This window comes from Homo sapiens, chromosome 13 (genome assembly GCF_000001405.40).
Source record: "Homo sapiens chromosome 13, GRCh38.p14 Primary Assembly".
NCBI classification, from domain to species: Eukaryota; Metazoa; Chordata; class Mammalia; order Primates; family Hominidae; genus Homo; species Homo sapiens.
The window spans coordinates 106,568,433-106,582,108 of record NC_000013.11 but is presented as its reverse complement, the minus strand read 5'-3'; positions in this window follow the sequence as shown (position 1 = coordinate 106,582,108).

The window sequence follows — 13,676 nt, the reverse complement described above, 5'->3', positions numbered from 1 at the left end:
CTTACTTTGCCCACAGCAAAATAGAGCCCAAAGACACAGATTCAACTGTTCATGATCTGGAGAAACCTGGTAGAGGAGCAGAGCAGTGAGAGAGGGAAAACGAAGCAGCCAGTAACAGTAAATCATCAAGCCACTGCTGCTATGGGCAGCCGCACCCTAATCCTGCAGGGGAAGCTGGGGAACAGTGTGGAACTTAGCTGGGAGGCATTGCACCTAAGGAGTCAGGGGCTGGCACAAGGGGAAGTAAGTTAAGTGAGAGCCTGGTGCTGGGTATGCATGGAGAACAAGACCATGCACCAGGATGAAGGGCAGAGGGTGTGTACTCATGAGCACTGGGGAAGACAATCTAGACAGGATGGGGCACTCTGGACAGGTACAGGGATCCAGAGTATAGATGCCACTGAAAGTTAGGTTGAGAAGCTTGGATTCAAGTGATAGCCACTTACACACCATTGACAGCTTCGGAAATGAGGAACAAAGTCCTGGGCTTGGATGGAGACTAAGAGCAGACAGAGAAAGATAAAAGGGAAAATCATTTTGGAGAGAGGATGAATAGGACCAGGGCCAGATCCAGGGCCAGGTGACCTGTAGTCACACAGCACCCTGAGCTCACAAAGGCTGGCACCTAGCTTAATGCTCCGCTACTCCCCTCTTGAGATTCTTAATCTTATCTTTGAGTGTGTTTTCTATGTGAAGTTTGATAAGAAATGAAGCACGCTGTGGAGTGGAGGACCTTGCAGCCTTGGCTCACATGCAAACCACCTTCACCACCTCCCCTTCCCAAGCCGGCAGTATCACATCTAAGGCTGATAACAGAATGAGCCCCCACCCAGTTGTTAGCTTGACCCAATGTGGAGGTCACGCATTGGCCATGGATTAGGCATTGCCTTTGGAAAGGAGGTGTGCCTGCCTGCCTCAGTTCCCTCACTCTCAGCTAGGACATGAATCCCAAGTTGGTGGGCAGGGGGTGCAAGGGTGGCAGCAGGATGCTTTTGAGGGTCTGCATTTGCCTGTGGACCCTTTCCTTTTTCAGGAGGAAACCAGACATTAAATTACAAGAAAAACAAAGACAAAAATTATCATTACAGCTTGAGAAAGAAACCACTGAAGAAATGAAAAAGCTTTATATTTTAGTATCTTTAACAACACTCTTTTTCCTGCTTTTTGAAGAAAAAGTCCCCATGTTTTCATTTGCAACGGGTTTTGCAAATTATGCAGCCAGTCCTGGATAGGAATGAGTACCTAGTGGAGGGGGAAAGCGTGATGAATGAAGATGGTGCTAAAGTTTCAATGGTGGATGATACGGAAATCTGACAAAACTCAGCATGTTTACGGAGAGAAGACAGAAGACAGGTGTGGGCTCAGAGTTAGAGCACCTGGATTCAAGTACAGTGCTATTTAACAGCTGCCTGTGACCTTCCTGGACAAGTGATTTAAGTCCAACCAGATTCATTTTCTTCTTCTGTCAAATGGAGGAAAACTGATATGTTAGTTATCTCTCATTTCTTGTAAGGATCCATGGAAAATGCTGAGCTTTGTATCTGCCACATGGCAAATTAGTATTGTTATTGGCCACCTAAGAGGTGCCTTTCATCTGGTGGCAGGAGCTTCTGCATTCTGAGTCATTCATGGGTGCCAACATGCCTGACTGGAGTTTTCTGGCAATTTCCTTCCCATGGGACTTCACTTTAGCCAAGCCAGAAACACCACCTCCATCCTCCACCTCCTCCCACCTCCTGACTGCCTTCTATTTTCATGAACACAGCAGCTTTGCTTCTGGTGATTAATAGTCTTGGGGCCAGGCACAGTGGCTCACGCCTGTAATCCCAACACTTTGGGGGGCCAAGGCGGGTGGATCACGAGGTCAGGAGTTCCAGACCAGCCTGGCCAATATGGCGAAACCTCGTTTCTACTACAAATACAAAAATTAGCCGGGTGTGGTGGCGTGAACCTGTAGTCCCAGTTACTCAGGAGGCTGAGGCAGAAGAATCGCTTGAATCTAGGAGGCGGAGGTTGCAATGAGCCAAGATCGTGCCACTGCACTCAAGCCTGGGCATCAGAGCGAGACTCTGTCTCAAAAAAAAAAAAAAAAAATTGTCTGGGATCCTGGACAATTCCTAAAGGAGGCAAAGAAGGACACCTTTACAGTGAATGGGGTGGGCCCACACAGACCCTTCAAAAGATGTCTACAAGAAATACCAAGGCTAGCATTGTTGTGGGTATGGAGAGCAAATGAGGCAAAGAAATGGCTTTCAGCACTAGGCAATACATGGTAGCTATACCTGCTATGAATAATAATAGGAAGAACTGGAACTGAAACATTGAGATTAGATGTGTTTCTACCTCATTCTGCTGTAGATAGCTAAACGCAGCACAGTAGTGTCCTCTTAGATAAATGTTGGCTATAAAATTCAGTCTTGAATCTCTAACAATTCGACTGGTACAATTACAGGAAGAAACCAAATCATAGCTCTGCTGAGGACCTGTGGAGTCCACTCAGTGCGACCTTTCATTTTGTAGTTAAGGAAAGTAAGGACTAGAGAGGTGCAACATCTTACTTAAAATTAAACAGAAATCAATCAGTATCTTTCAACTAGAAGTTGATGCCATTTTCATTGTATGTTATGTGAAACATGTATCTATTAAAAGCATTATGATGATTTTAAAACACACCTGCACATTCTTGTAATTCTTTCCATCCAGAAGTTGAGCCTAGTTCTCCTCCCATTAAATCTGGGCCAGTTGGAGGGACTTCACTGGTAACTAGTAGAATATAGCACAGCTTTTGAAGCTATGAGAAAAGCCTCTATTGCTTCTGTCTAATTCTCTTGGGTCACCTGCGTTTGGATCAATGAGCTGCCAAAAGACCACCATGTTGTGAGGAAGCCCAGGCCATATGAAGAGGCCACATGAAGGTGAAACAGCTGATAGCCTCAGGTAAAGTTCCAGGCAACAGCCAGCATCAACTACCAAATTGGGTCATGCTCCCCATTCTGCCTTTGACTCTTCTCAGCTCAGCCCCCAGACATTGTGGAACACAGACAAGCCATTCTCACTGTGTCCTTCTCTGAATTGCTTACCCACAGAATTTTTGAGCATAATAAAATGGACGACTTTTTTGCCACTGTGTTTTAGGGTGATTTGTTAACCAGCAGTTGAAAGAGGAGCAGTATTTTTGTTCTACTACAGACTTTTGGATGGGAAGCAAAATAGAAAAATTCATTCCTAGTCTATTTTACTTTCACTCAAGGCCAACTAAAGCCAAAATACTGTATTTGGTTTGAAAAGAGAAATGAAATAAAACCAGGCTCTGCATTTTCACTTTCTGCAGCACAGATTCTTTGAGGAACAAATAGAAGGCAACCCCAAGAGGTTTTTCTTTTTTAAATGTCACGAGATTTTTCAGAAGATGATAAACGTTTGCTTGGCAGTATAGCTCCCAAGCAAATATCAGGCAATTAATTAATCACACATATACAACAATTTTTCTGTGGAGAAATTTTTTTATTAAAAATGCAAATACTTTAAATGCTAAAAATACTTTCCATGCTTTAAACATCTCTTAAAAAGTATTTGAAAATATGAGTAACAAAGGGTTTCTCTGCTGTAAAGTACAATACAGCTGATTTACTTTTATAATATAAACATCATTTTTTCTCCTACTGCTGAAAGCCAAGTAAACAGCAAGGTGGGCTGAGGGCTTGTGTGGGTCAGATGCGCTTTTAGCAGTCACTGAGTTTGCCTGATGACAGTCTAGAGGGCAGACAGACACAGTCAGCAACACGGAAAACCAAGGCAGTATACTCAGTATTTTTATCCATTTCCTAGGGCTGCTATCACAAATCACGTCAAACTTGGAAGCTTAAAACAACAGAGATGTATTATCTCGCAGTTATGGAGGCTAGAAATCCTCAATCAAGGTGCCGAGAGGGTCACGGTCTCTCTGCAGGTTCCAGGGGAGGCGCCTTCTTGGCCGTTCTGGCCTCTGGTAGTGGCTGGCAATGCTTGACATGACTTGGAGCCACACCGCTCCCATCTCTGCTATGCGGCATTCTCCTCTGTATGTGTGTCCATGTCTCCTTTTCTCTTCTTACAGGATACCTGTCATGTTGGATTAAGGGCCCCCCTACTCAAGTATGGCCTCATCTTCACTCGATTATATCTGAAAAGACCCTATTTCCAAATAAGGTCATGTTCACAAGTACCAGGGGTTAAGACATCAACCTACCTTTTAGGGAGACACAGTTCAACCCACAGCAGTGTCCTAAACAAAAAAATCTAAATAAACGGCTGTTGTGGCAGGAGGAGATGATAATTAATCCGGGGCACGCCTGCTGCTGCTTTGCGCGTGGCCTGAAGCCCTGGGTGTAAATACCGACTGGCTGTGAAGCTATGCCAAAGTGATTTCCCTCACCAGTCTCAGAGTTCTTACCTGTGAGTGGAGGCTGACTGAGACCAGTGACCCTGGGCAGGCCCTGTGAGCCCATCCTCCCGCAAAACAACGACACCCAGGTTGCACCCCAGCCAGCTGAGCCACAGCTTGCACGTTACCAGATCTCTCCATGATTCTGTGCACGTTAAAGCTTGAGGACTACCTAACACAGTTCTTGGGGCATAACGATTTACCAATAAATGCTAATCCCTTCTATTCATAAACACCACAAAAGCACTTCAGTAAAACAGCTGAGTTCACATTTAATTTAATAACTATGGACTGCAATGAAAGGGAGAAGGGAGGAAAGTAGGCCATGTTTAAACTAACTTCCTCCTCCAGAAGGAAACTGGCTAACAAACAACAGGCTGGGTGAGACACTAACTTTGGGGACTCTTTTGAATATCTCAGCTTTCTTTTTTTACTTAAGGAAAGATTGCTAGGCTCAAGTGGGAAAAAGCCATTCAGAGAGAGGAGGTAGCTCAGATAAATTTTTTTGAAAGGTCTTGTTAACTGAAAAAAAAAAAAAATGGGAGTTTAGAGATCATTAGTGTATAATTCTAATGAGAATTTAAATATATATGCACATTAAAATCTAAAAACAACAACCAACCAAATAAAAATGCTTGGAAGTCATCTCTCCCCCTCTCCGAACAACAATAAAAACAAGCTGAAAATCAAAAACTTTTCTTAGATCCATCACAGAACTGAGGTGGAGGATAAATCAGCACCCTGAAAACTGAAGAGATGGGTGAAGAGGGAGAGTGCAGATTAGCTCGCCGGAGGCACAGGCCACTGGAGCTGGTGAGAACACTTGAAGGGTGCAGCTGACAAATCACCAGGGGCTGAGGGTGGACTAACGTGAGAGTTAAAAACTCCTGGGGACCCTAGAGCAGGGTTGTGTGACACATTTTTTTTTTCCTCCAGGAACCCCACCAGGTTCTCATGGTGAATATACCCTATGCATGGCCAGGGAGAAGGGAAGAGTAACCATTCTGAAATATGCCCAGGTCATTCTCCACAACAAACACCACCAAGCCAGAGCTTTATCCAATTTTGGGGAAAGGAAATGACCCAATTGCAGCCCCCTCTAGCCTGCTTTCTCTGGCATGAGAAGAGAAAAACCATCTGAGAAACACTGGTGAAGGTCACAGCCCAGGGTCACAGGTTCACTGAAACACTGAGACCTGGTCATAGGATCATGAACTGGTTCCCCATCCCACACTTTATCCCACATCAACAGGGTTCCCATATAATAGCAGGTGGTTGCAGCACAATAAAACTTCGAGGACCAGACTCCTAAGAAAAAGTTCCTGAGAAACCCACAGATAATACGAGAGCCAAAAACCAGGACCGAGGACAAATAAGCTTCTGACACATACAGCTACAGGGGACAGTAAGCACAGACTAACTTCTAGCCAGAAAAACATCAAACTTCTCACCAAAGGCCTGTCTGCTTGAGTTCTCATAACCCAGTACATCATGTCTGGCTTTTCACAAGAAATTACAAGACATGACAGAAGGCATGGAAAAAAACCATCTGAAAAGATAAAGCAAGCATCACAGTCAGACTCAGATATGGCAGAGACTTCAAAATCATTATATCAGGAATTCTAAGTAACTGTGGTTAAAATGTTAATGAAAAAATTGGACAACATGCAAGAACAGATGGGTAATGTAAGCAGAGAGATGAAGATTATAAGAAAGAAGCAAAGAAACCTTAGAAACCAAAACCACTTCCATAACAAAAATGAAGCATGCACCCTGATGGGCTCATGAGTAGACTGGACACAGCCACAGAAAGAATCAGTGAGCTTGAAGAGACATCAACAGAAACTTCCCAAACTGAAATGCAAGGAGAAGAAAAAAAATATTTTAAAAGAAATAGAATATGCTAGAATGGTGAGACATAAAAGGCATAACACACACTAATGAATACCAAAAGGAGAACAAAGAAAGTGAAGGAGCAGAAGAAATATTTAAAGATTATAATGACTGAGAATTTTCTAAAATTATTAACAAAAATCAAACCATAGATTAAAGAAGCTCAGAGAACAACAAGCACAATTAATACCCCCAAATCAACACCTGAGCGTATCATACTCAGACTACAGAAAAACAAAGACCTAGGGAAAAATCTTGAAAAAATCCTGGGGTAGGGGTGGCATGGTGGGGGACACCCACCCAGAAAGGAACAAAGATGGGCATTCCATCAGACTTCTAGTCCATAACCAGGCCAGCAAGAGAGTGGAGTAAAGATTCAAAGATTTGAAGGAATAAAAAACTCATGTAAAATTTTGTATCCTGCAAAATTATCCTTCAAAGGTGATGGAGAAATAAAGACTCAAATCAACAAAACTGAGGGCATTTGTCACCAGTAAATCTGCCTTGCAAGAAATGTTGAAAGAAGTTCTTCAGAGGGAGGGAAAAAGATACAGGTCAGGAAATCTTCTCTACCTAAAGAAAGGATGAGAGTTGGGAAAGGAAAAAAGAAGACTCTTAAGTTGTCCTTAGAAGCCCTTACTGCTGACAGTGTTGAATTTTACCTGTGTTCTTAGAAAACAGAGGATGCTAAGAAATCTCCCATCCTTCGTGCTAGAGGAAATGACTTAACTTCAAGATCCCTCTTCCTTGTATGACTTAAATTAGACTCATGGAAGCCCCCTGTATTAGTCTGTTTTCATACTGCTATAAAGAGCTGCTGAAGGCTGGGTAATTTATTACTTTCAATGGCAAAAACTGCAATTACTTTTGCACCACCCTAATATAAAGGAAAGAGATTTAATTGACTCACAGTTCAGCATGACTGGGGAGGCCTCAGGGAACTTACAATCATGGTGTAAGGCCAAGGGGAAGCAAGGCGTCTTCTTCACAAGGCGGCAGGAAGGAGAAGTGTTGAACGAAGGGAGAAGAGCCCCTTATAAAACCATCAGATCTCATGATAATTCACTCATTATCACGAGACCAGCATGGGAGAAACCACATCCATGATTCAATTTCCTCCACCTGGTCTCTCCCTTGACAAGTGGGGATTATGGGGATTACAATTCAAGGTGAGATTTGGGTGGGGACACAAAGCTTAACCATATCACCCCACCCCTGCCCCTGTTTACTTATGACAGGCCAGACTGGGCCTTCCAAATTCCTATTCTTTGCCTCATAGATTAGCTGAACTATTTTTTCCCCTGAAATTAATGGAAACAAAATTCTTATTTATTGAACTTTGGTTAAGTTTCTGTCCTTTCCCCAGGTCCCAGAACCTTGGCCCACCATCAGCCTGAGCTGGTCTTCACTCACTCCTAAGAACAGGCTGGCCTCCAGAAGAATGTTCCCTGATCCACTACCCACTTTTGGGACCCCTTCATCCACTTCCTCACATCACTTCCTTGTTTATTCCTCCTATAAAACAAAACCACTTTTTGCCTAACTCTTGAGATGCCTGCAGATCTCATGTGTAGAGTGTTCTATTTATTACAATAGTCTCCCCACACCCCACCACCATCCAACCCCTTCCAATGATACTTTTGAACAAAATCTCGCCTAAGTCATGGTTTATTTGACACTGTAAATTTGGCCTCCCACTTTGGCCTGGCTCCATGTCAAAGCCTGCCAAGCTCACACTCCCATCTCAGGAATCAGCTCCAGTCACCGTCCAGTCCGAGCAAGTTGCTGGGAAGTATGTCCTTAGCCTTCTATGCTCACAGCACCAACAGCTTTTGCTGCCTTGCTTTTCATGCACTTGAACAGAAATGACAGAGATCTCCAGGTTTGTTGCTGCTGGAACTATCAATATGTGCTTTCCCTAGTCAGGAGGTATTTTTTTCCTGCCTCTTGAGTAAAGAATTCCCTTTTTAACAAGCTTTTTTTCCCTTGTTTGTTTGTTTGTTTTTGCATACAGTCACACTCACAATTAGTCTTGCATAGCATAGGGCCTCCTGACAATGGTTTTAGATGAATTGATGATCATTTGGCTTAGGAAAAAGAAATGTACGATGTGTGCAGAACTACACATTCTGAATTGGATCATAAGATAGTTTTTAGAAGCTAGAGTTCTCCAGATTTCCAGATTTTATTGCCAGAGCAGTGATGAAAGCAGTTTACTCATCTTCAAATTATGTAATATTCAGTAATTGTGAATTCTCTTTAAAACTCTTCAAAGAACCCATGCTGCCAAGAAAAGCCAGACAACACGTTCCATATTGATTTGCTCATTCTGAATGTTTTGTTGACCGCGTCCCATCATGTGCTCCTAGGTCCTAGGCCTGAGATGGATGACCCGAATCTTAGACACGGACGCCAACTCCCCCAACCCCCTGCCCCGCCAACCCCCAAACCAAAGGAGCTCACTTTTTAGCTAGAGAGATGAATATTAAATAATTAATGAACATGTTTATTTTTATTTTTTTAGGTTTATTTTCATTGTGTTGACGTTTACCTTTAAATTATTGAACACATTTATATGTCATTTTTAGAACTTATGAATAAAGTGCTGCCAAGGAGACAACCTACCAAGGGACTGGGAGTCAGTGGGATAGGGAGAAATGGGCATAAACTGGGTGTCAGACAGCTCAGGAAAAGTTAGGTAGGTGAGATTCTAAGAAACAACACTATAGAGAGAGTGGGACCATGGTGCCCAAGGACTCCACCTGCACTGTAAGTGTAGACATAACTCTCTGAGCAACTAAGATGGTATTTTCCATTAACAAGGCAATCAATACTTACGACGCTTCATGGGCATGTTGTAAAATACATCTCAAACTTTGAAAAGTTGGCAAAAACAATTGAGGATCAATTTAATTTAAGAATTAGGATCAGTAATTTAAGAATTAGGAGTATATTAGTCTGTTTTCACACTACTATAAAGAACTGCCCGAGACTGGGTAATTTATAAAGGAAAGAGGTTTAATTGACTCACATTTCAGCATGGCTGAGGAGGCCTCAGGAGACTTACAATCATGGCCCAAGGTGAAGGGAAAGCAAGGCACCTTCTTTACAAGGTGGCAGGAAGAAGAAATGAACCCAGGAGGAACTACCACTTATAAAACCATCAGATCTCATGAGAACTCACTCACCATCATGACAACAGCATGCGGAAACCACCCCCATGATTCAATTACCTCCACCTGGTCTCTCCCTTGACACATGGGGTTTATGGGGATTACAATTCAAAATGAGATTTTGGTTGGGAAAACAGCCAAACCATATTAAGGAGGAAAGATACATTCATGCATCTCCTATTTTTTACATTAAATTGTTCTTTGGAATGATCTGGATTTGAATGATGTGTTATTTATATTTGGCTATCCTAATTATTCAAACATGAACTGAGAAAATGCTTTTATTGGAGAAGGGAATGGAGGAAGGGAGGCAACTAAAAATTTTAAGAGTCTGAAAACAAAACAAAACAAAACAAAACAAATGAAGCCAAACTTATACTTAGGATAAAAAACCATGCAATTCTCTTCTTTCAAGGTGTATTCGGCATATATTTATCGAGGTTAGCTAACCCATAGGGTGTCAGTGGACACAAAACAGTCAAGATGCCGAGAATTTGGATTCTGGTGGCAAAAAATAGTCAATAAAGAAATACATGAGAAAATAAGGTGAGTTCAGGGAGTGTGAAATGTCAAGATTTTGATAATTATACTATAAAATGCAGGCATAAAATGTGTGTGTTCCTCATTCCTTCAATGCATCCTCAGAGATGATCCCTGGTAAATTAAGGGCTTTCATGCACTTTTTCCTTTTTTTTTTTTTTTTTTTTTTTCCTGGCAGCAGCCAAAAGACATGGCCAGAGCCTGAGCAGGGTAAATATCATCTTTTTTTTTTTAGACAGAGTCTTGCTCTGTCACTTAGGCTAGAGTGCAGTAGCCCGATCTTAGCTCACTGCAACCTCTGCCTCCTGGGTTCAAGCAATTCTCTGCCTCAGCCTCCTGAGTAGCTGGGATTACAGGCACCCGCCACCACGCCTGGCTAACTTTTGTATTTTTAGTAGAGACGGGGTTTCACCATCTTGACCAGGCTGGTCTTGAACTCTTGACTTTGTGATCCACCCGCCTCAGCCTCCCAAAGTGCTGGGATTACAGGCATGAGCCACCACGCCCGCCCCAATATCATCCTCTTTTAAAAGCTCCATAATCCCCTATACCTCTACATCCAATCTCCAGTGGTCTTATAAGAAGAGGACAGACGTACAGTAAAGATGGAGACAGGGACTAAAAGCCAAGGAATGCCAGCAAGCACCAGGAGCTAAGTGAGAGGCAGTGAACAGATTCTTCTCCAGAGCCTCCAAAGGAACCAACTTTGCTGACATTTGATTTTGGACTGCTGGACTCCAGAACTGTAAGTGAATACATTTCTGTTCATTTAAGACATCAGTCTGTGGTAATTTGTCGGGGCAGCTCTAGAAAATTTATACACTAACTCATTGGAAATAACTATCTTTATCATTAAACAGACATCATTCTGGATTATATATATATGTAATATACATATATATAAACAAAATTCCAGATATATCTATACATCATATCATATATTCACACCATATATGGATATATAAACCATATATATCATTCCCACTGGATAGATAGGTACAGATACGTACAGACAGATGGTTAGATTGACAGAAATATTTCTACTATAATGGGGGTAATTCTATACATTCTATATTAAATGTGATTTTACTTGAACGTATCTGAAGTAAAAGAATAGATCTATCCTTCTATTGCACTGTTTTCCTATTTCTGTCCTAAAATCTTGTTGTTCAGTTTATTCAATTTTGTGTAGGGCAAACAGGTACTGTTTGCTACGGTCTAAATGTTTGTGTGCCCTCCCAAACCCAGATGTTGAAATCTAATCACCAATGTAATGGTATTAGGAGGTGGGGCTGCTGGAAGATGACGGTATTAGGAGGTGGAGCCGCTGGAACACGATGGTATTAGGAGGTGGGGCTGATAGGAGACAAAGGTATTAGGAGGTGGGGCTGCTGGAACATTATGGTATGAGGAGGTGGGGCTGCTGGGAGATGACGGTATGAGGAGGTGGGGCTGCTGGGAGATGACGGTATGAGGAGGTGGGGCTGCTGGGACATGATGGTATGAGGAAGTGGAGCTGCTGGGACAGGATGGTATTAGGAGGCGGGGCTGCCGGGAGACGATGGTATTAGGAGGCGGGGCTGCCGGGAGACGATGGTATTAGGAGGCGGGGCAGCTGGGAGACGATGGTATTAGGAGGTGAGGCTGCTGGCTCTGCCCTCATGAATTGGATTAGTTCCTATCTTAGTCCATTCAGCCTACTATAAGACTACCTCAGACTGGGTCATTTATAAACAGCAGAAATTTATCGCTCAGAGTTCTGGAAGCTGGGAGTCCAAGATTAAGGCACTGGCAGATTCAGTGTCTGGTGAGGCCTCACTCTCTGCTTCATAGATGACACCTTTTTCTATGTCTTCACATGGTAAAGAACGGGTGAACAAGCTTCCTTGGGCCCCTTTTATAAGGGCATTGCTATGGCTTAAATGTATGTGTCTCTCTAGAATTCCTATGTTGGAGCCTAAAATCCACTATAATAACATTAAGAGCTGAAGCCGTTTTGGAAGTGATTAAGAAATGAGGCTCCACCCTCTTGAATGGGAATAGTATCCTTACAAAAGAGGTTGACAGGAGTGTCCTAGTTCCCCCCCCTTTTTTTTTGCCCTTTTGCCTCCCATCCCTTCCCTCATGTGAGGACACAGTGTTCGTCCCCTTCTGTGGACCCAGCAAAACAAGGCACTATCTTGGAAGCAGATAGCAAGCTCTTATCAGACACTGACTCTGCTGGTACCTTTATCTTGGACTTCTTAGCCTTCAGAACTCTGAGAAATAATGTCTATTATTTATAAATCACTCAGTCTAAAGTATTCTGTTATAGCAGTGGAAATGGGCTGAGATAGGCACTAATTCCAGTTATGAGGTTAGAGCCCTCATGACCTAATCAATATCCCAAAGCCCCACCTTTTAATACTATTGCACTGGTGATTAGGTTTCAACATATGAATCTGAGGGAACACAAACTTTCAGACCCTAGAAGTGCCACTAAAAGAGAGCTCAGAGAGCTAGCTTTCCCCTTCTATCATGTGAGGGCACTGTGAGTAGGTGCCTTCTGTGAGTCATCTGTGAATCTCTGGGTCCTCACCAGCGACCAGATTGGCTAGCACCTGGATCCTGGATTTCCAACTTTCAGAACTGTGAGAAATAAATTTGTTGTTCATAAGCTGCCTAGTTTATGATATTTTGTTACAGCAGTCAACACAGACTAATACACTACTCTTCTTTGTTTCCAAGTTTTCTTGATAATTAATTATGTGATCTTCCATATAAAACTTAAAATTAATTAGTTCTAAAACACATATCCCCAAGAGAATTTGGGACTCTCATGAGAATTGCACTAATTTTGTAATTTGACTTGGGAAGAATTGACAGTATTTTTGATACTGACTACTCACCTAAGAATACAGCATGTTTTACATTTACTAGGGCCTTATTACTGCCTTTTCAGTAAAGGTTTATAATAAAGATTGTGTAACTTGTTAAAGTTTATCCCTAAGTATTTTATGGTTTCTGTTGCCATTGTGGAGGAAATATTATTTCATTTTTAATATGTTTTTGCTTATTCAAATAATTCTAATTTTTCTTCTACTTACTTAAGCTTTATTATTGCACTCAATTTTAAAATTGAGGCACCTAGATTTTCAAGGGTTCCTGTCATCTGCAAATATTAACATTGCCTTTTCCTTTTAGGTCTTAACAATGACACAGTTTGTTGTGCCACATAGGGACGAAGCTTTTCGTGGCTAGGGTTGAGGAGGGCTTGCTGGTTATGTGCAAGGGCTTTGCACAATATGATCTAGGTTCACGTCCCTGCTCTGTCACCTACTGGTTGTGTGACCCTTATTTAACCTCTGTGGACCTCAGGGTCCTCATCTCTGAAACGTGGATAATAGTAGTACTTAATTCAGAATTGTAAGAATTAAGCACTTGTTAATACATTAAAGCATTTAGAAGGCACATTAAGCCCTATAGTAAGCATTAGGTTACATTCATCAAAACCTGCTGCCTACTTACCTCCTGCAAGTCTCATAAGCACTTCAGAAAGTGTGGTGTCTCCATTCTACGAATGAGGAAACTAAGTCCAAGGCAGCAAGTGATGAGTGCAGGGTCACTTGGAGATACATTTTAGGGCTGCCCCACAAGACCAGCTCCTA